At 43.6% G+C, this 20,261-nt stretch overlaps 1 protein-coding gene and 1 pseudogene across 22 annotated transcripts in view, besides 1 other annotated feature; both read right to left on the reverse strand.

Annotated features, from left to right (window-relative positions):
• COBL (cordon-bleu WH2 repeat protein) overlaps positions 1–20,261 on the reverse strand; it is a 300,598-nt gene that overhangs the window by 229,530 nt on the left and 50,807 nt on the right. The window lies entirely within an intron of this gene.
• On the reverse strand, positions 13,679–14,503 carry RPL7L1P2 (RPL7L1 pseudogene 2; annotated as a pseudogene).
• Positions 17,021–17,836: an enhancer, noted in NCBI's record as "H3K4me1 hESC enhancer chr7:51330459-51331274 (GRCh37/hg19 assembly coordinates)". NCBI's record gives its function as "activates a minimal SCP1, AML or CMV promoter by ChIP-STARR-seq in primed H9 embryonic stem cells {active_cell/tissue: H9 hESC(primed)}" and the evidence as "EXISTENCE:reporter gene assay evidence [ECO:0000049][PMID:30033119]".

A 20,261-nucleotide genomic window follows, 5' to 3' on the forward strand; every position in this document is an offset into this window, starting at 1 on the left:
CAACTGTTTAGCTAAAAGCAAGGCTGGGATTAAGTGATGTGAAATAAGCAAAAGGCACCTCGCAAACCATATGGCACTATTCAAACATTGGGGCACTTTTAAAGTTTTCTTATTGACATTATCAAATTATGCAAAACAAAGTTAGGTAAGGGACAAATCCTGCCTGCAGAGTAACTTGAAATTTTGTGAGGAAATGATTTTAGCAAAAATAATATATTATCCAAAGACTTAGTTTTCATTATGGCAAAGATCTCTGCAAATGCAAAGAAGATATCTATGAATTATACCATGTGGTATGTATGTGTCATTTATTTTTAAGTAGAAAGGCCTAAAAATATCTAGTAGCATTTAGAAAATATTTCACACTTCTTTTTATCACTCCATGAATTTAAAACTAAAAAAATAAATATCCTAGCCTTAATGCAGAAAAGCAAGTATGTAAGTTTCCTACTTGAAATAAAAAGACAAAAGACTCTATGAAGAAGATGGCATTTTCTTGTATAATTTGGACCAGGGAGACAAATGGCCTGCAGCAAGTCTATCCAAGCAGGAGCTCCATCTCCATCAGCAGGGGCCGCCTCCTCTGTCCCTGACAGCTCAGAAGCCCATAGTAAATGCTGTTTGTTGTCAGCAGGACACATGCACCAAGCAATTCCCCTCCCCTGGGCCTCCTGCCCATCCTCTCATCCCACTTCCAATCATGGCTCACTCCCCAAAGCTCCAGGAGAAAATTCTCCCCTGGCACACAGCCCAGCCCTGACCTTGTCCCAGCCCCAACATCCCTGCTGGTCTGGCTGTCAGCCCCCGTGAGGTGGAGAGAGAATCCTGCCTGCACACCGTACAGTGTAGCACAGGCCATGCTATTAGATCTGGGCCATATAACTTCTATCTCATTCAAATAAAATGCAGAAACGCTGATTAATGAAGCATTATAATGTTTATGAAGAAAGAGTTATTGTGGTTGCAATTCCATGATGTCCTTGATTTGTAGATTCTATCAGTTACACAGATTGTCATACTTGCAGACTTCTTCCAGAGTTTGGCAAGAACAAATGGGCTTTTTTTGTGCAGATGACTCATTTACATTTTTAATTATTTTTAAACTACATGAACAATAAATGACTACATTGAACGATTCAAAGAAAAATCAGAGTGTGTTCCCAAAATAGCCTAGGGTGGACCCCTGTCCCCACCAAGTCCTAAACATTAGAGCCCAGCACGCCCCAGTAAGTCACCATAGCCAACACAGATGCAGCCTCCCTGCAAACACCAAGCAGTGCGGGCCTGCAGGACTCAGTGCCTCACAAAACCAGCGGATACCTGTGGTCATCGCGGAATCTTGTGGTGACCGTGCACCCTTCCATGCCCAAGGCAGAAGCCTCAGCTCCTTTCTACCTCCCATCTGCCACGTTAAGTCACAGGCTTGCACCTTAAAGGCCAGAGGCCATCCATGGAGAAGACTCTCCCAAATGACTCCCAATTGGGATTGGCCCTAACAAACACCATGAGCTTGGAGTCTCTCTTCTTTCGGGGCCACTCTGCTTTCTCAGTGGTGCTGTCTCTTCATGTTACCCACAGCCAGTGGAATCATGTTCTCTGTTCCCTCTCAACTATCAGAACCAGTCTTTTGGACAGGATCTCCTGAGGTTCCTGCTAGCAAGGTATAAATAACAGATTCCCTGGAAGTGTTGAAAATTGGAAACGAAATAGGAATTTTTAAAATCTTACACTTCAAGACAACTGGTTGGATGAATTGGGGAGATGGTGGCTTTATTTTTCTTTTGAAGAAAGTATACAAAGGTGGACACTGGACAGGTAGGGACAAGGTGACTATGGAAGCATCTCATGGCTGAAGCTTGCTCCCATCTCCCATAACATAAAGGCATTCATGGCAGGGGGTGGGGAGTCTTTCTCCTCCACCTATTCAAAGTGATCTTTAGAAGGTCTGCATCACTCCAGCAAACAGTGGCCAGGCTGGTTCTTGCCATATTCGACCCTATTGAAATTATCCTAAGGCAGACCAATCAGCTGAGTTACTGCTGAAAGAAGACGCCAAAGGGTTATTCTACTTAAGTTAAAAATAAATAAACAACAAACACAAGGCCAGGCGCAATGGCTCATGTCTGTAATTCCAGCACTGTAATCCCTGCACTTTGGGAGGCTGAGGTGGTGGATCACTTGAGGTCAGGAGTTCAAGACCAGCCTGGCCAACATGGTGAAACCCCCGTCTCTACTAAACATACAAAAGTTAGCTGGGCATGGTGGTGCACGCCTATAATCCCACCTACTCGGGAGGCTGAGGTGGGAGAATTGTCTGAGTCAGGGAGGGGGAGGCTGCAGTGAGCCGAGATCACGCCACTACACTCAAGCCCAGGCGACAGAGCAAAACAGGCTTTGCACACAGAATTGTAACACAGAGTCTACCACTTTGAGGCACAAAAGATAAGAGTTTAATATAAAGAATTTTCCTCCTACTGTGCATCCGTGGTTATGAAACGATTCATATCATAAAACTTACATATAAAATAATATTGCTCTATCTCGTTGATTTAGAATATGAAATAAGAGATACGATTTTATGGGGAAGACTACACTTAATTGGAAGGGAAGAGAAGAACAGCAAAATGTCCCGACCATGGGCTTTGCAGTTCCTCAAGGAGACACCAGCAAGACACTTCAGAAGACCCCAGGAACCACAGCCAGCCCCCTAAAAAAAACTGTCAGACGATCCATTGGTTCTTGTTATTCAACCTCACATTCAGTTGGATGGTACAAGACGGAGGATAGGGGTCTAAAAATGTGTATTTTGAGTGCATGTAAATTACACAAGTGGTAAATTACTCCCCATTTTACAAATAGGACACAAATGATTCTTTGGAGATTATTTTCTAATGGCACAAAATGTCTTTGGTTTATATCAGTTTTAACACTCCTCAATCTACCCAGTCTTTGTAAATATCTAAATACAAATCATTTTAATTTAAAAGAACTAGGAAATATATTTTAACAACAAAATTTTAAAAAATAAAAATGAAAGATGCCTCAGACAGAATAATGGGCATAGGCACAACAATGTTGCCTAGTGATTAAATTTTTAAGGAGAAAATTATTCAGTCATCCCCAAAGCTACAAAAGTACCTCAGATACAAATTTATTCAGGGATAACTTTACAATCTTTATCGTCTGAACAAAAATTTACTTTTTCTAAGCCCATTATGTAATTAAGATTTGGAAAAGATACTGAGATAAACCAGGTTAAGACCCATTCTGAACATATCTTTTTCTAAAACAGACATAGTATAATTTATTTATCCAAGTCTGCATATATACCTATTAAATATGTTTAAATGATGGAACTTTTGAACCCATTTGTGAATCTCTTGTCTCTCAGAACTCCTGTGTATCAGATCCAGATGAATGGTGTTCAAGGCAAGGCTATCTGTGACCTGTGGTGAGTGAGGGGGCCCCCATCCAGGGAACTATCCATTAGGTGACATGAGGACGTGCAACCCCAAAACAGAATCCTTGAAAGGGAAGGCAATGAGGTGAACACAACAAACAGACACAGAAAATCTATTGCTTAACCCTAAGCATGAAACATTCCTGGAAATCTCTCATCATCCTTCCCACAGGACATATGCCTGGAAAGGTGAGCGTGAAACCATTCTCACAGGATGAGTCATGTCTGAGATGAGGGCAGAGCATGGAATCCAGAAATGGACATGTCTTCCTAAATCCTTCAAAGATAGATTAGACAAGGAAAGATTCCAATGTCACTCCTTCTAATTACATTTTTATTAACATAATAAATTTTGTAACTTCTCTTCTCCAAGCAGAGAATACCCACATTTCTTCGTAATCACCTTTGTTCTGATTTGACACCTTCCTTTTACTTTTGCTCCTCAATAAAAGCTTTATTTTTCCACTTTCACCACCCTACAATTCTTCTGTTGATCAGAATAACAACTGGATTACCAGACAATGCTGCCAGGAGCCACCAGACCTAAACTGGGCACAGAGGCTCACATTCAAACCCTCTGCAGAGCTGGCTGTGAAAACTGAACCAGGAACTGGCTTGAAGAAGAACATTTTTCAAACACCTGTAATCCCAGCACTTTGAGAGGTTGAGGCGGGCAGATCATTTGAGGCCAGGAGTTCGAGACCAGCCTGGCCAATGTGGGGAAACCCTGTCTCTACTAAAAATACAAAAATTAGCCAGGTGTGGTGGCGCTTGCTTGTAATCCCAGCTACTCAGGAGGCTGAGGCAGGAGAATTACTAGAACCCGGGAGGTGGAGGTTACAGTAAGCCAAGATCGCACCACTGCACTCCAGCCTGGGCAACACAGTGAGACTCCATTTCAAAAAAAAAAAGAAGAAAGAAAATACAGAGTAGACACTCCCTTGACAAACCTCCACCAGCTGGCCAGCCTGGTAATCACAGCTCTGCCCTCTTTCTGATGGGCCTGTGTCCACCCCGCACCAAACAGCCTTGCAGCCAGAAAGTGACTGGTACACACTCAGAGAACTCATCCTACAAGGTGGCCTTTACAATTCCCAAAGCATAGAAGTCTTGCTCACCAATTTATTACTGCCAGTTGCCTATGCTATTATAATTATAAAATGTAATTAAATATTATGTAAACTGATGAAATTAAAGTTTGAAAATAAAAATAGTTGATGGTTCCAAGAAAACTTTGTAAAATGCTGTGGACAAATTTTATAAAGGCTATCTTTATTTTTAAAAAATATTATTTAATTGAGTGTGGGCAAGAAAACTGAAAATGACAGAGTGGGAGGAATTATAAAAATACAGAGGCATTTACTTCTCAAATTTGTGTGCAAGTATCTTTTATTGTCCAGGTACTTTTAAAAAACAAACTGAAATTTCTAGTTCATATATTACTAAAATGGTTTACGAAGTTGTCCTTGAACCTTAAACATTGGACCCATATGGCTAAGCCATCATAAATAAAATAACTAAGGTATTATGTAAGCTGGAAAAAGGTGGCAGTCCTTCACACACAAAGCTATGGATGCACAGCTTGCTGAGTGACAATGGGCTGGATTTCAGTCCCTCTTGCTCCCTTGACTGGGAACCCTTATGCTGGAAGGCCCAAAAGACTGATACAGCAGCTCTGCCCACACGCAAAAGAGGGGCCTCAGCCACATCAAAGAATTGGCCAATAAACATACCTCTAAGTTTTCATTAAAATAACTAAGGTATTACTTGTTATATTTTATGGTTCCCTGCTTTAAATTACTATTGAAAATAATTGACCTATTTGTGATGATTTTTACAGTGCTATTAAATCTACTTAATGATAATCATATTCTAATAATAGATAACAGTATACATTCTAAATTTTAAATAGTAACATCTCGAGCAGCAACTGTTAAAGGTCACCTGAGTGGCAGAGGACCGGGGTCGAACCTGCAAATTAGAACACGTAAAATATACTAAGAAAAGGACACCAAGAGAATGTATATGACATGCCAGGTATTTTGCTTCCTGTAAACTACATAGCTATTAACTCTAGGAGCTCAAAGAACAAAATATATCCAACACGATATTAGCTCATAATATTCCAGGGGTGAAGGCTGAATGTTAACAACTTTGTGTTACAGGGAACTTGTTGGTGAGAGAGGATTCTGTGCTGTCGTTTCAGGACGCTGCCAGCTATACAAAGGTGTGACAACTTAAACCACCCATGTGTGATCATTCTCAAATGACCTCTGCCGAATGACTCATACAAAGCTGCTCCTAGCTTACAAAAGTTTAGATTTGCTTAGAATTTATTTCTAGCACTAGTTATCAAGATTTAGATCCATATCAAGATCCTTGAAGGCAGGGATCATATCTCTAAGTTATATTGCATTCTCTATCCTTCAGAGATTATTGCCTGGCATGGACATCAATGTTTACTGTCCCCACTGCATGCCCAGATCACAGTACCAGACATACGGTGTACACTCAACCAATATCTGTCAGATTGAACACACAGTGATGAGAAGCAACTGAAATTTTCAAGCCTAAAAAAATGTTGAAAGATTGGTACAATGAACTACCCTCAAACTACTCCATGATCCATTTTCCCTTTCTATGCATACTTGCATGTGTATACACACACACACACACAACCATTTTTGCTTTCTGAATTATTTGAAAGTTGCTGAAAAAACAGTTCTGCACTCTAAAGTCCTTTAGCACATGTCTCCTAAGAGTAAGAGCAGTCTCTACATAAGCTCAATACCTTTATCACAGCTAAGAAAATAGGATCCTACATATAATTCAAACACAAACTTCCTCGATGTCCTTATGTGCTCTTTTACAGCTTTTTTTTTCAATCCAGGATACAATCAAGGTTCGTGCACTGCATTTCATTATTAGATCTCTTTAGAACACTCTCCCCTGTGCTTTTGTTTTGTTTTCATGACACTGGCTTTTTAAAAACAGGCTTATTGAGATATAATTCACACACCATATAATTTGCCCATTTACATTGTACAATTCAATATATTGTACATGTTTTTCATATATTCACTGAGTTGCGGGACCATCACCACAATTTTAGACTCTTTTTATCATCCCCAAAGGAAATCCCAAACCCATTAGCATCAGCAGTCACCCCCTTTTTTTCTTCCAATCTCCCCAGCCCTAGACAACCACTGATCCAGTATTAATACTTTGCATCTCTATGGATTTGCCTGTTCTGGACATTTCACATAAGTGAAATCATACAATACGCATGCTCTGTGACTGGCTTCTTTCACTTAGCCTAATGTTTTGAAGGTTCTGAGTTCTCTGAGGAGACTTCACTGCAGCTGTTTTGAAAAAGACTCTCAATTTGTTCAACTGTTTCTTCATAATTCAGATTAAAAGCTTTTTGGGGCAAGAACACTACAGAGGAGTACAGGTGATTTCTCCTAGCATTATACAAGGGTATAATATTGGCACATAGTATCAGGTTGTCCCCAGCAGGAGGGGTTCAATTTAAGCAGTAGGTTAAGAGGCTGGCCTCTAGATTATTCCAATGTAATGGTTTTTTTCTCTTTTATAAGTAGTAATCTGTGAGATAATATTTGAGAACGCATAAATATCTCATTCTCCAACAATCTTTCACCCGGTGATTTTAGCACTCAAACATGATTCTTGCCCAGGTCAAGGTTGCAAAATGATGATTTTTAAAATGCATAATTTTAGCCAGGCACAGTGGTTCACGCCTGTAATCGCAGCACCTTGGGAGGCCGAGGCGGGCAGATCACCTGAGGTCAGGAGTTCGAGACCAGACTGCTCAACATGACAAAACCCCGTCTCTACTAAAAAATACAAAAATTACCCAGTCATGGTGGCGGGCACCTGTGATCCCAGCTACTCAAGAGGCTGAGGCAGGACAACTGCTTGAACCCAGGAGGCGGAGGTTGCAGTAAGCCGAGATGGGGCCACTGCACTCCAGTCTGGGCAACAGACTCCGTCTCAAAAAAATAATAAATAAATAAATAAAATGCATTATTTCTTCTGAATTTATTAAGGTGACATTCTCTCTATTTGAGTAACACTTCAGACTCCTGAATCTTTTAATATATTACAATCTATTAATACGATTACTCTTGCCAGCAGGAGGCCCTGCAAGCCTACTCCTGGGTTTGTTTTGATGTACTCCACAGGCCTTTGAACACCTTCTTGCTTTCTAGCACAAGATACCCCAGGCACAACCTTGTCAAGATCTGTAATCAGCCATTTCTCCAAGGATCCATGTGGGAAACTGTAGTTAATGTAACTATTGGAAAGGTATCATTGCTATTTATTTTGTATTTCTAATTATAGAGAGAGTGAAAAGGAGAGTGAGAGAATTCACACTGCTTGTAGCCCTTCTTCCACAGTTAGAACTTCCATTCCCAATAACATCATTGTATTTTATTTTTTGTACCACCTACAATACCTACAAAATAATTTAAGAATTACAACACAACACCATTACCAACTATAATTGTACCAGATAAATCTCAACAGTTATTTGCCATTTCTTTTGTTCTTAAAATATGTTCCAATAAAGATATATGGTCAGAAAACTGTTCAAAATTATCAGAATTAAGTCTTTATTCTGGGCAGTTGTGTTATCAACTTTAGACAGTTAGATTCCTTTGTTTCTGTTTTTCAACTTTAAAATTTCCTTTTTCAATTTTGATGCTATTCTGTTTTCTGAATATATAAAAACTTGTGTAGTTCAAAATCAAAATTATATAAGCAAGCCATATTCAAAGAAATCTAATTCCTATTTTTATGTTGGATACCTCATTCCCACACATCCTCATTCTTCCTTTTTGAGTTGTTTTTTTTTTGTCAAAAGAAAGCAAATATGTGTTTATTCTTATTTTCTCTTCTTTCTTGCACAAAGATATATACCATAAACAATTTCCATGTCCCCTCTTCATTGACAATGATTACTGCAAATCACTCCATGTCAGCTCATAATGATTTTTCCCTTTCACTTTTATGGCTGATGTAAAGTGACCTTCATAGATGAGGCAAGACTGTGACCAACTGTTTTAGAAGAAAATGGAAGGATGAGAGGCGTATGACCTCCGATGATTATACTGTAGTCCTTCTGGTACAGAAGTATTATTTGTGCTAAACTGAGTCCTACATATAGACTTGTATATAAGGGAAAACACACTATTCACTTGCAACAAATAGACAAAAACTACTTTCAACATCAAATCTAAAACTGAACTAAACCAAACCAAAACAAATTGGCCAACATTCAAACAACATCCTGGTAATGTGCACATATACCCTTGTTATCTGTCTTCCTTCCCTCTCTTTCCATCCCCCATTTTTCCATCCTCTTTGAGGTACAGGTGGACCCCCAATCCTCTCCACCACTCTTCTCAATCAGATTCTAGAATGGTTGACTACCTAGAATTCTCTAGAAAGTGGCCTACTGAGTTCTTATGAGTCCAGCAGCCAAGATGCACTGATGTCTATGAACACCAGCTTTTTCATAAGCTCCACAGCCACCATCTGACCTCATGAAGGGGACTGCATAAGGTGAAAAACATCAACCCTTGGGCAGCTGATTTCAATTTGTGTTACATTTTCTCGTGATCTTCCTCAGACCTTATCAAAGGGCTGAATAAATGTGGTTGATGTACTGGTTTCTCAGTTGCTGATTACTATTTAAAAGCTCTAACAATACTTAAAAAGTTACATCTTATACCATGATTCAATCTCTATGTATCCCTCCCCACTCAATTAAAAAGTACGTTGTGGATAGTTCAAGCTGCTACCCAAACATATATTTCTGAAAGCTAAGTCACACTAAACACTAAATCACAGGATCCATGTGAAGCCTGAATCAATCTGAATATTTTACACTATTTCTGACCCTGCTTTGTAGAATATGCAAGCTTCCCTTGCGTATAAACAAACATTTAAAATACATGATGCAATTAAGAGAAGAATAATCCTAGCGACCTCCTTCAGCTGTTACAAAGATAAAATGAGGAACTGCTGCCCGAGGCACTGCTGGGCAGTGTCATCAGTGTTACTGTCAGAGACAGTAACATCCAACCCATTGTGTGACTCTTAAGATTCATTCTCTGGGAAACTCATCAACAACCACAATGCAGCCCTTCCTATATCTCCTCTTTATAAAATTATTAGGGACCAAACTAGAGAAACAATGTGGAACAGTATCCTCCAGGGCCTCCTTCACTTGCAGTGAGACCAGTTGTCTTTCATTCCCGCATCGTGTTCATCCCATGAGGGAGGGTCTGCATATTTGAGGGTCTGGAGGAACATGCTCAGAAGTTTGGCCAGGCCTGGGTTCACCCATGGAAGAGAACAAAGAAGGGGACTGAGCATACTCTAGCAATGACCAGTGGCACGACTAGGAAAGTTCTCTGCCGAGATCACTTCCTCCTGGCAAAAACAAGGGCTCCACAGGGCTTAGGGTAGAGAGCAGAGACTCACAATGAATCACGGGGCTGCAGTGAGCCAGGCACTCAGTGGTGTCACCTCAGGAGGTTCCGATGACCTCACATCAAGGTGGTGTGCCGATGCAGGAGCAATGCAGGCCCTGAATGTTGCCCCACCTGATGCGGCCACTCAGCTGACCGATGAGACTCCAGCCCAGCCCCTGCTTTGTCCCTTAGATTGTGCAGAGTTTGAGAAGCCCAGCTCCTGAGGGCAAGGCCAGATCTCACAACCAGAGGCCTGGGGACCCGGGCCAGCACCTAGCCTTCTCTCCACCAAAAGCTTGGTCTCTATTTTTACTCCTTGTTCTAACACACCCATGCTTAAAGGATTTCTGAAATGTGTTCTGGAATGCCGTGTGGCTCAGCTGAGACCCTGAATTCCATGTCACACTGTCGTAGCAGCTGCACTATCAAGCACAAGCACAAAGGCAGGAGTGTTTCCAGGCGGCCCACCCAAGACAGCAGTCCTTTAAATTGACTCCTCATCATATTGCCCTGGGTACTTTAGCTGGCAAAGAACAAATTAGCATTCTCAATCTATATATACTGTAGCACACTAAATAAAGGGCTGGAGCCGAGGCACAAAAGGTCAGGCCATGAAATTCCCTGCAGGAGCCCGGGTCCCACCATTCCACTCTCAGGCTCTTTGGAAAGCTGACTCCCAGGGCCACAAGCAAGTCTTTGTGTGTCAGGAGGGCCCACTGCTGGGGCTTTCAGTGCACACAATAACTCACAGGCTGTGTCCAATTTCAGAACACAACGAAGAGGCAATGACCACACCCACGTGGGCCTGGGCTTTCACTCAGGAGTTCGGATCTCATGGAAAAACACCGTGGAAGATGCCCTGGGGCAGCACCACTACCCGGATCCACATCCACTCAATCGCCCTAGTAGGGCCTCCAGAGCACTCCTGCAAGCGTCACGTGGTTTCACAGATCCCAGGCAGAGGCAGGGCAAGTGTTACTACCACCACCAGTGAGGAAATGAAAGCCCAGAGAAGCTGTGAGACTTGATGAAGGTCACCAACTGGCTAAATGATGATAGGTGCTCTAATGAGAAGTTTTATTACCTCACTATATTGTTTTACTCAAAAATATTTCCTGTCTGACAGCTGCTTCCCGGATTTACTGCTTAAAGTGAGTAATTCCACTCTTCTTAGACATGGAATTTTACATATAGCACCAGAGCAGAGCTAAGGATTCCTTTACTAATTTTCCTTACTCATTTATTATATTATATAAAATATACACGAGACTTGAACAGGGAATGAGGAAGCCCAGAAGAGCAGAAACTAAACCAGTCCAGTGGAAGTGTCACATATATTGTTGCATAGCCTGCATTCCAGAGTAGCAAGATGAGGCTCTGAGCTTCCTAGCGGTCATGGCAAAGATGAGATGCAAAGCCAGATTCAAAGCTCCCATGTCTCAAGATAAAAGAAGACAGATCCAGAGAACCAGTGCCCTGCAGCCCTCATGCTGGAGACATGGTGTGCAATAGTGAATTACGTCCCCAACAACGTGCCAAAAAACAAAAATACAAAGATGGTTTTCCAACAGTTGCTTCTCCCCTCAATAAAACCTACATCACACCAAGACTCCACTCAGTAGAAGTCATTAAATACAGAGACCAAACAATGCAGTCGAATATGCCATTCTTCTGGTTTGGCTTGACTGAGGATAAACGATAGCATATCTAAAGAAAGTAGAGGAATAGAACACAGTGGACACATACACTGAACTGTATCAAGCACCACCACGATTTTATAAATCATGGAATTAATTTGGTATATCCAGAATACCGTCAAGCAATATGCAAAGGTTCATTCTGCATAAGAAAGTAGGCTTATACACTTCAATGTTTAGATTGAATATGCTTTCATTTGAGACCAAGTTACTTATTCTGGGATTATGTATATTTATAGATAAACCTATATATAAATATACATAATTTTATAAGATGTATACATAAAATATATTTCAGTTAAAATTCTGTTTTCTAAAAATATTGCTAATATTTGGCATTAATCACACCAAATATGAAAGAATTTGTACACTAGAGCCATTTTAATATTTAGTAAAATAATCTGATCTTTAAAAAAACAGATAGATTAACAAAAGCACTAAAAGTTCACTCAGATTTTGATGAAATCTTCCCTGTCTATTCCTATAAGACCTGCAAGCAGGTATTGATAATCAATGAGGAAATGTTTTGATTAATGAAATTAAACTTTAAAGCTAAGCTTTAAGACACAGTGTATTCGTTGTAACAAGGAAAATGTATTATTTATTTACCTGTAATATAGTGTACTTGTTTGCTAATTTTTAAATTACTTTCCTAGAAATAAGGTAGCTCTTTTCAAAATATACTTTTTTATAACTAGAAGCAACACTTAATTAGTGAAGACAGTTATAACTGACTACCCTAAATAAATTAAAAGAACAAGCTATTATTTAAAAGTGTATAACTCTTCAATGAATGGTTAAAACCATATACTTTTTTTTTTGAAGAGACAAGTGAACATTTATTTTTGTGCCATTCTTCCTATGTATATTTCAAGTCTTTTTCAAAACAAAGCCCCAGGAATCTCCAGATTCAATTATGTCCCTGGGCTTGGTTGATCACTGCAGGAGTCTTAGGGACCCTTGGACAAATGGTAGAGTTACTCATTTACCGACATTAAACCCTAGGACAGATGACACAACAAAGCAGGACTCCTTCCTCCATGGAATGTACTGATTTCAGACGAGGCGGCAGCCAATGTAGAAAACACTGAAATTTTTCCTTGGAATTGGACTGTGATGAGAGGTGCTTGCCATGAACATAACCTACTGTCTTTTCTTTGACCCTTCCTTTCCAGCTTTTGAAGATAAAGCAGGAAATAATCTTCTTTGAACATACTTGATAAAAATTCCCCAAAAAAGCAAAAACACATGCTTCTACTGCATTGAAAAAAATTTACTGCAGTGTGGCACTTAAGAGTAATAACAAATAGCAATAAAAAGTAATTTCAAAAAGAGTTAAGATTTCTTCAGCAAAATAAATGATTCATATCTTTAAGTCCTTTTTGAAATCAGTTATTAATATTATTCCTTCCCCATTTCCATCTAAATGACCACAGCAATACAGTTTTTAGTCACTCAACATCTTTAAGCTTATAACTCTTAGGCTATGCATAGCCTAATGTCCTAATCAGGCATTCATCGCTCCCAGAAGGTCTCCCATCTATTAGTACCAGCCTCCTCTGTCATCCCAATCTCAAAGTTACCCTTAATAGTAACCCAATCTCGGCCGAGCGCGGTGGCTCATGCCTGTAATCCCAGCACTTTGGGAGGCCCAGGCAGGTGGATCACCTGAGGTCAGGAGTTCAAGACCAGCCTGACCAACATGGTGAAACCCTGTCTCTACTAAAAATACAAAATTAGCCAGATGCAGTGGCGATTGCCTGTAATCCCAGCTACTCGGGAGGCTGAGGCAGAAGAATCGCTTGAACCTGGGAGGTGGAGGTTGCAGTGAGCCGAGATCACACAACCGCACTCCAGGCTGGGGAACAGAGTGAGACTCCAGCTCAAAAAAAAAAAAAAAAAAGAGTAACCCAATCTCACGGTTACTAATAGGAATACTAGTAACTGCAAAAAGCACTTTTAAGTGGCAAGGCATGACCCATCAAAAGTCAGCCCAAGGGCAGTTTTCAGCCCTGCCTCACCTGGGTCTAGTTCAGCTGGTGGATGAGCTGATTGATGTGTTCACCCCGACAGCCAGGTGGGGCCCATCTCCTTGAGGAAACCCACTCTATTTGTGGTAGCAAGATGGGCCACTGAGAAGTGGAAAGGGCGCAAAAACCATGAGATCTCCTGGAAATGCTTCTCCAGGAAGGCAATTTCATGAATGAGGTCTTCCAAGCAAATGACACCAAAATTCCCCTGGTGCTCCTCATCACTGTGTTGTCTGTCTGAGGGATGGTCTTATTCTTGACCTTGGCTCATCCACATTTCAAAATGAGTTCCCAGGCAGACTTCAGATGTGGAAATACCCAGATCACATAAGTTTCCACTATGGGCAGCATTTTTAGGTTCTGGGGGGTGACTTTTACAAAGATACCACTAAAAATTTTCTTTAGGCGAAGTCTTGCCATGGTTCTCTGCACCAGTAAACTCATGTCATTAATCCTTTCAATGCGTACAATAAAGGCCAAGGAATGTTATCTGGCAATTCCAAGGCATGAGGTTTCACTTCTAGTCATCTGAGATGCATCTTGTCACGTTTCTGCCACCAGGAATCATATAGGAATGATTCCAGTCGTTTAACTTGAGCCCTTTTCCTTTCCTCTGCTCCTTCTTCTCCAAAAGTGTCTGCTTTGCCTGGGTGGCTTTGAGGACTTGATAAGCCTTCCTCTTTTTCAGGAGATTTTCTGGAACCAAAGGGATTTTTCTTTGCTCTTGCTCCATTATCTTTCTAGAGTTGTAGCTACTGATCATGCGTAACTCTACCACATGGGGAAGATGGCACTCACTCTATCAAGACCATATACTATTTTTAAAGACCTAAAATAAATTATGAAGTGGCTTTTGTCTATCTCATTTATAGAACAGGATAATATGTAAAGTTTGCATTGAAAATAAAAAGGGAGAAAGATCACATGATTTGTATTCATTCTTTCATTCACTCAAAAGACATTTACTATTTATCTTCCATGGGTCAGTATCTGGGATAGATTCTAAACATCCACAAATGAGGATAACAGGATCCCTCCCTGATGCAAGTCCATCACTGGTAGGAAACACAGATAAACAAACACTCAAGACACCAAGGCTTGTGCCATGAGAAAGGCTCATATACAATGCTCGTGGAGCAGATGCTCTTTCTAGGAAAGAGGGTAGTGGCCTGAGGGGACAATTCCAAGGCACTGGTTGAGCTATGTGTTGCAGAATGGGATAAGGACATGTCTAGCATAAGGAAGGGTCGCTACAGGAGAAGATGGGAAAGGTTGTGGGATGTGTGAAGAACTGGGATCGCAGGTAAGCTGCAGCTGGGGACTGACAGTGTGCAGCAGGGCAGCCATGGAAAGGATGCAGGGACCAGGCGGCAGAGCCTGGATCTTATCCCAGAGGTGGCAGAAACCCTCAGAGGACTCCAGGCAGGTCAATAACAGGGCACTTGCATTTAGCCATGACTTCTCTGGAGGGATAGGGAGGGTAGGCTCAGATCACATCCTGCCTTTCCCCAAAACCTTCTGAGGGCATCTCATGAACTTTATAAACCTCCATACCCCTTCTCCATTGCCCATCTCTCCTGCTTCACCTCCAGCCATTCTCCCCAGAGCCCCACTACTCCTGCCACACTGCCTGCCTTCCTGCTGCTCACACACGCCAAGCTCAGCCCCACCGCAGGAGATGTGCACATGCTGCCGTACACAGTAGATGGCTTACTCCTCTCTTCACTGAGAGGCGTACATGTACAGCAAAACCTCCTCAAAGAAGCTCTCCTGACAGCCCATCCAAAACGGCAGCCTTTGGCTGGGCGTGGTGGCACACGCCTATAAAAAAACTGCAGCCCTTGCAACTCTCTTCCAACTCAGTATCACTTCCAGAAATTATACTTTATTTATTTACTCTCTATCTCCCCCACTAGAACATAATGTGTCAGAGTTGCAGGGAGACCTCACCTGTCATATTCATGGCTGTGTTCCCAGGGCATAAAATGCTGGTGAGTAGCAGGCTCACAGTAAATATCTGTGCAATGAATGAATGAAGGTGAGACTAGAGTCAAAAGCTACTGCGAAACACAAAACACCAATGGTGATTTCGTCTGAGCTAAGAACACAGCAGTGTGATGACATGTTTGGTGGAGAGCTGACGCACCAGGGAATGGAGGAATCTGAGGTGATGCCTGACAGGGAGGATGGCTGGCCTGTGCACCAAGCCCAGTTGTACAGGCCCTGGAGGTGTTGAAAGAAGGCAGCCCGAGGGGCCAGGCGCGGTGGCTCACGCCTGTAGTCCCAGCACTTTGAGAGGCCGAAGTAGGCGGATCACCTGAGGTCAGGAGTTTGAAACCAGCCTTGACCAACATCGTGAAACCCCCTCTCTACAAAAATTAGCTGGGAATTGTGGCATCTGCCTTACTAGGGAGGCTGAAGCAGGAGAATCACTTGAACCCAGGAGGCGGAGGTTGCAGTGAGCCAAGATCACGCCATTGCACTCCAACCTGGGCAACAAGAGTGAAACTCCATCTCAAAACAAAAAAGAAGGCAGCCTGAGGAACGCTAAGCTCCAGATTCTGTGAGGCACCCTCTGGGCAGGCAAGTCCAAAGCTGCCAGGAGAGGGGTTGGGATGGAGCTGGAGAGGGGTGGGCCCGTGCTGATGGTGCAGGAAGAATGTGGCCAGTGGCAGCGCTCCTGCCAGGCTCACCGCACTCACCGCACAGCAGCCCTGGCTGGCTCAGGGCACAGAGCCAAAGTGGAGTCTGACAGTGGCCCAGCCCCAGGAGGCCACATCCTCGAGAACACAAGGCAGAAGAAGAAGTGCAGGTGCAAGACAGGGGCACACCTGGGAACCCCAATGTCTCAGGCAGGGACAGAGGAGGGGCAGACTCTTCAAAGGAGCCCCAGGAGGTGACAGGAAAGTGAGGAGGGAGACCCTGGCCAGGAAGGTCAGAAAAGGAAGTTTCCGGACGAAACCGTGTCAGAGTCAGAAGCTGAAGAGAGGAAGTCAGTAGGACCATACAAACAGTTCCACAGCGAGGTGGCCATGGGAAAGGACTCCTGCGACTCAGGACTGGGTCTGAGACCCTCAGGGAAAATGGCCCGGTTAGGACAGCCTAGTAAGAGCGCACAGGAAGGATGCACTGGGAAGTCACGACAGGCAGCGCCAAGTCGCCATGCCTGTGAACCAACAGGGTGCTGGCGGCAACATTCGCCATGCAGTCACCATCACATGGACGTCTGGGGCAAACAATCAAAGTGATTTACATGACAGATGTGTGTGAAGACATGCCAGTATTAAAGCATGAACCAGGGGCCGGTTGGTCCCAGGGCAGTCTCAGTGGCTGTGGAGTGAGTGCTGGGATACAAGGATGAAGAGGGCAATAATGAAGAAGCTGTCCTTCCCTCACTGCCCACGCCCTACCAGCAACCCCTGGTAGGAGGCAGGGCAGGGCCCAGAGGCATTGAGACCCAACTTGCCAGGAGCCTGGGAACTGGAACCGGCAGCAGCCCTGGGCTGCATCTGGAAAAAGAAGTCAGTGTCCAGCAGGTAAGCTGGGCAAGGTGAGGCACGGACGAGCCTCGTCTCCACACCAGGGCAGGTGGAACTGACATCAGTGGGGCCCTGACGCAGTGTTAAGAGACATGGAGGTGTCGCCAGCCACATTCTCATTAATACAAAGTGGTGGTGTGTGGAGTTGGGGAGTTCCCCCCAGCTCACCGGAAGCCACCCGCAAGCCGAGGGTGGCCCTGGGAGCAGGTCCTACCTGTGAACAGCACCTGTCATCTACACTGCACTGGGGAAAGGTGCAAGAGACACCCTCCAGCCCTAGGCTCCTATGAGCAAGAGCACACAGGCCAGGAGGCCTGGGGAGGGCCCACGAGGTCTCACACTCATGCACTCCCACGTGTGAGAAGGAGGGAGCAAATGGATTGTTTTAAGCAGGAAGATAAATGGTCAGTGGGATATGTTTCACAAACTGCTTTTGGCAGCAATATGGGGGGTGGATAAGGAAAGTAGGAGGCTGGAGGAAGGAAATCAGAAGAGCATTTCAGAAGCCCTGCAAAGTGCTGGCAAGGGCCTGAGCTATGAACCAAGACAATAAAACAGAAAAAAAAGTTCTTTTTTTTTTTCACACAGTGGGTGGAGGTCCCCACTTTGGTGGGGAATTATGGAGCCCACACCTGAGTGCTTTTAGTTGAAGCTTTAGTACCTGGGAGGATGAAGAGTTCCCAGGCGTGGCTGTCCAGCTCACTGGTGTCAGCACCAGCAGGTCTGATTGTTAAGTTCAAGGGCTGCCCAGCAAGGCCTGGGAGACAGAACCAGCCAGACTGGTTTTATTGGATTGTGCTGCTGATAATGACACAATTTTTATGTCACTGAACACTTTCTTGGCAACTACTAAATATTTTGATATGATTCCTATACAAAAACAGTTGACATAAGGACTATGATCCCCATTTCAAATGAGGACAGGAGATAACTAAAGTTGATGGAATGCTAACCATGAGTTTGGCACTGTGGTAGGTTCTTAGTGTCCCAACTAGTTTTCATGACAGCTCACAAGGGAGGTGCTGTTATTCCACTTTTATAGAAGATGAAACTGAAACCTAGATTATGTAGCTGTCAAAAGACAACAAAACTAGTGAGGAAGAGAGCCAGGACGCCGGCCCAGGTCTATCTGAGCTTGGTCCCCATGAGATGCCTTCTGAGTTCCAATCGCAGCCCCCAAGCCTCAGAACTGCTGGATCAAAACTGCAGGCAAGGAAGGATGGGTGCAAAAGCCCATGTGTTGGGGATCTGTTCCTCACAATGGCAGGGCAGAAGGGGCTCAAACGTTCTTCCTTTAGGGGCCTGGCTGAATAAGCCAGGATGCAGCCACACAGGGCACAGAGAGTGAGGACACCTCTACGTAACAGTTGGATGTTTTACATAATTGCAAAACAAAATATAATTAAAAAGCAACCCCCGGCCAGGCATGGTGGCTCACGCCTGTAATCCTACCAATTTGGGAGGTCAACACGGGTGGATCACCTGAGGTGAGGAGTTCGAGACCAGCCTGGTCAACATGGCAAAACCCCGTCTCTACTAAAAATACAAAAATTAGCCGGTCTTGGTGGTGCACACCTGTAATCCCAGCTACTCGGGAGGCTGAGGAAGGAGAATCGCTTGAACCCGGGAGGTGGAGGTTGTAGTGAGCCAAGATCACACCACTGCACTCCAGCCTGGGTGACAGAGCAAAACTCCATCTCCCAAAAAAAAAAAAAAAAAAAAAAAGCAACCTCTAACACTTGAAGAAAAATGAACAAAATGCTTTTAAATGCACATTGATAACATCAAAACACACCAGCTGAGGTAGAGGGCAAGTGGGGTATACAATGAAATAAAATATACCATGTTGGAGTGTACACCAAAGGTTCATTACATTGTTCTCTCTCATACACATGTGCATATGAAATCAGATTTCATATCCATAGGAAATATCCCATAACTGTATGCCATTTTAAACTGTGGGATGGAAGAGGACTTAGATGTCAAGTGCAGCTTCCTTCTCATCCCAGAATGCCCAGAGGCCTCTGGCCCTCAGTAGGTCACTCATGCTCACGTTTCCAATGTGAAGGCCTCCTGAAGGGGCATGCAACAGCAGCCCGATGCCCGACAACCAGCGGCAGCACTTCTGATGCCCCACTCAAGAAAGTCTACACAGCAGAACCTCAGGGCATTTCTGACACCTTTCTGTGTGTGTTCCCAGTCCTTTAACAACCGCGTGCTCATCTGTTTCAGCCTCACTGCTGCTTTACAAGGGTAGTGCCACATCTGCATCCACACCTGCTTTTAAAGACCTGGGAAAGCAGGTGGGGGTTGGGAGTTAAATAGCTGTGGAGAGGGGAGAACCAGAAGAACTGGGTTCCAGAGAAACCCAGAGCAGGGGCTGTTCCCCATCCACTGACCCCAGCACGCCCAGCCACACCCACCAGGCAAACCGCCACCAGGCTTAGGGCAGAAGGCTCCCCAGGCTGGATGGGGACAGGCTGCACCTCTGCTCTAGCAAGGTCACAGGTCGAGGTGAGGCAGGGTGTTTGCAGCCCTAGGAATAGAACTTATCTCAGTTCAAAGACCCAAAGCACATGTGCACAGAGGACAGTGAAAAGGAGAGCATGCCCCTCAGCCAGGGCCACCCACAGAACCCCAACCAGGAGAAAGCCCTGGATGATGTGATACCTGAGGTGCCCAGAGGGGAAGAAGGGGCAGGTAGGTGGGCTGGCTTCTCCGGACACCTGTCCCTGCCAGGGCAGCCTGTGCCTGTTCCTCTGCAACCCTCCCTCCCTGCCCCGGCTCTCAGGCTTCTATGACAGGCTCAAAGTCCATGTGGATCAACTGTCCACGTGGACTGGCAGATGTTTTGCCACATAAAATGTACATCCACTCACATTCTCAAGAAACAGTCATATGCGATTTCCATTACACCTCTGAATTTATAATGAAAGTTACAGCCAGATGTGATCCAGTGGATCGATGTGATCCAGTGAATTGGCGTTTCCCTACCATTTTTTTTTCAATTCACAATTCCTTTCACAGTAATA

Source organism: Homo sapiens, chromosome 7, assembly GCF_000001405.40.
Source record: "Homo sapiens chromosome 7, GRCh38.p14 Primary Assembly".
Taxonomy (NCBI): domain Eukaryota; kingdom Metazoa; phylum Chordata; class Mammalia; order Primates; family Hominidae; genus Homo; species Homo sapiens.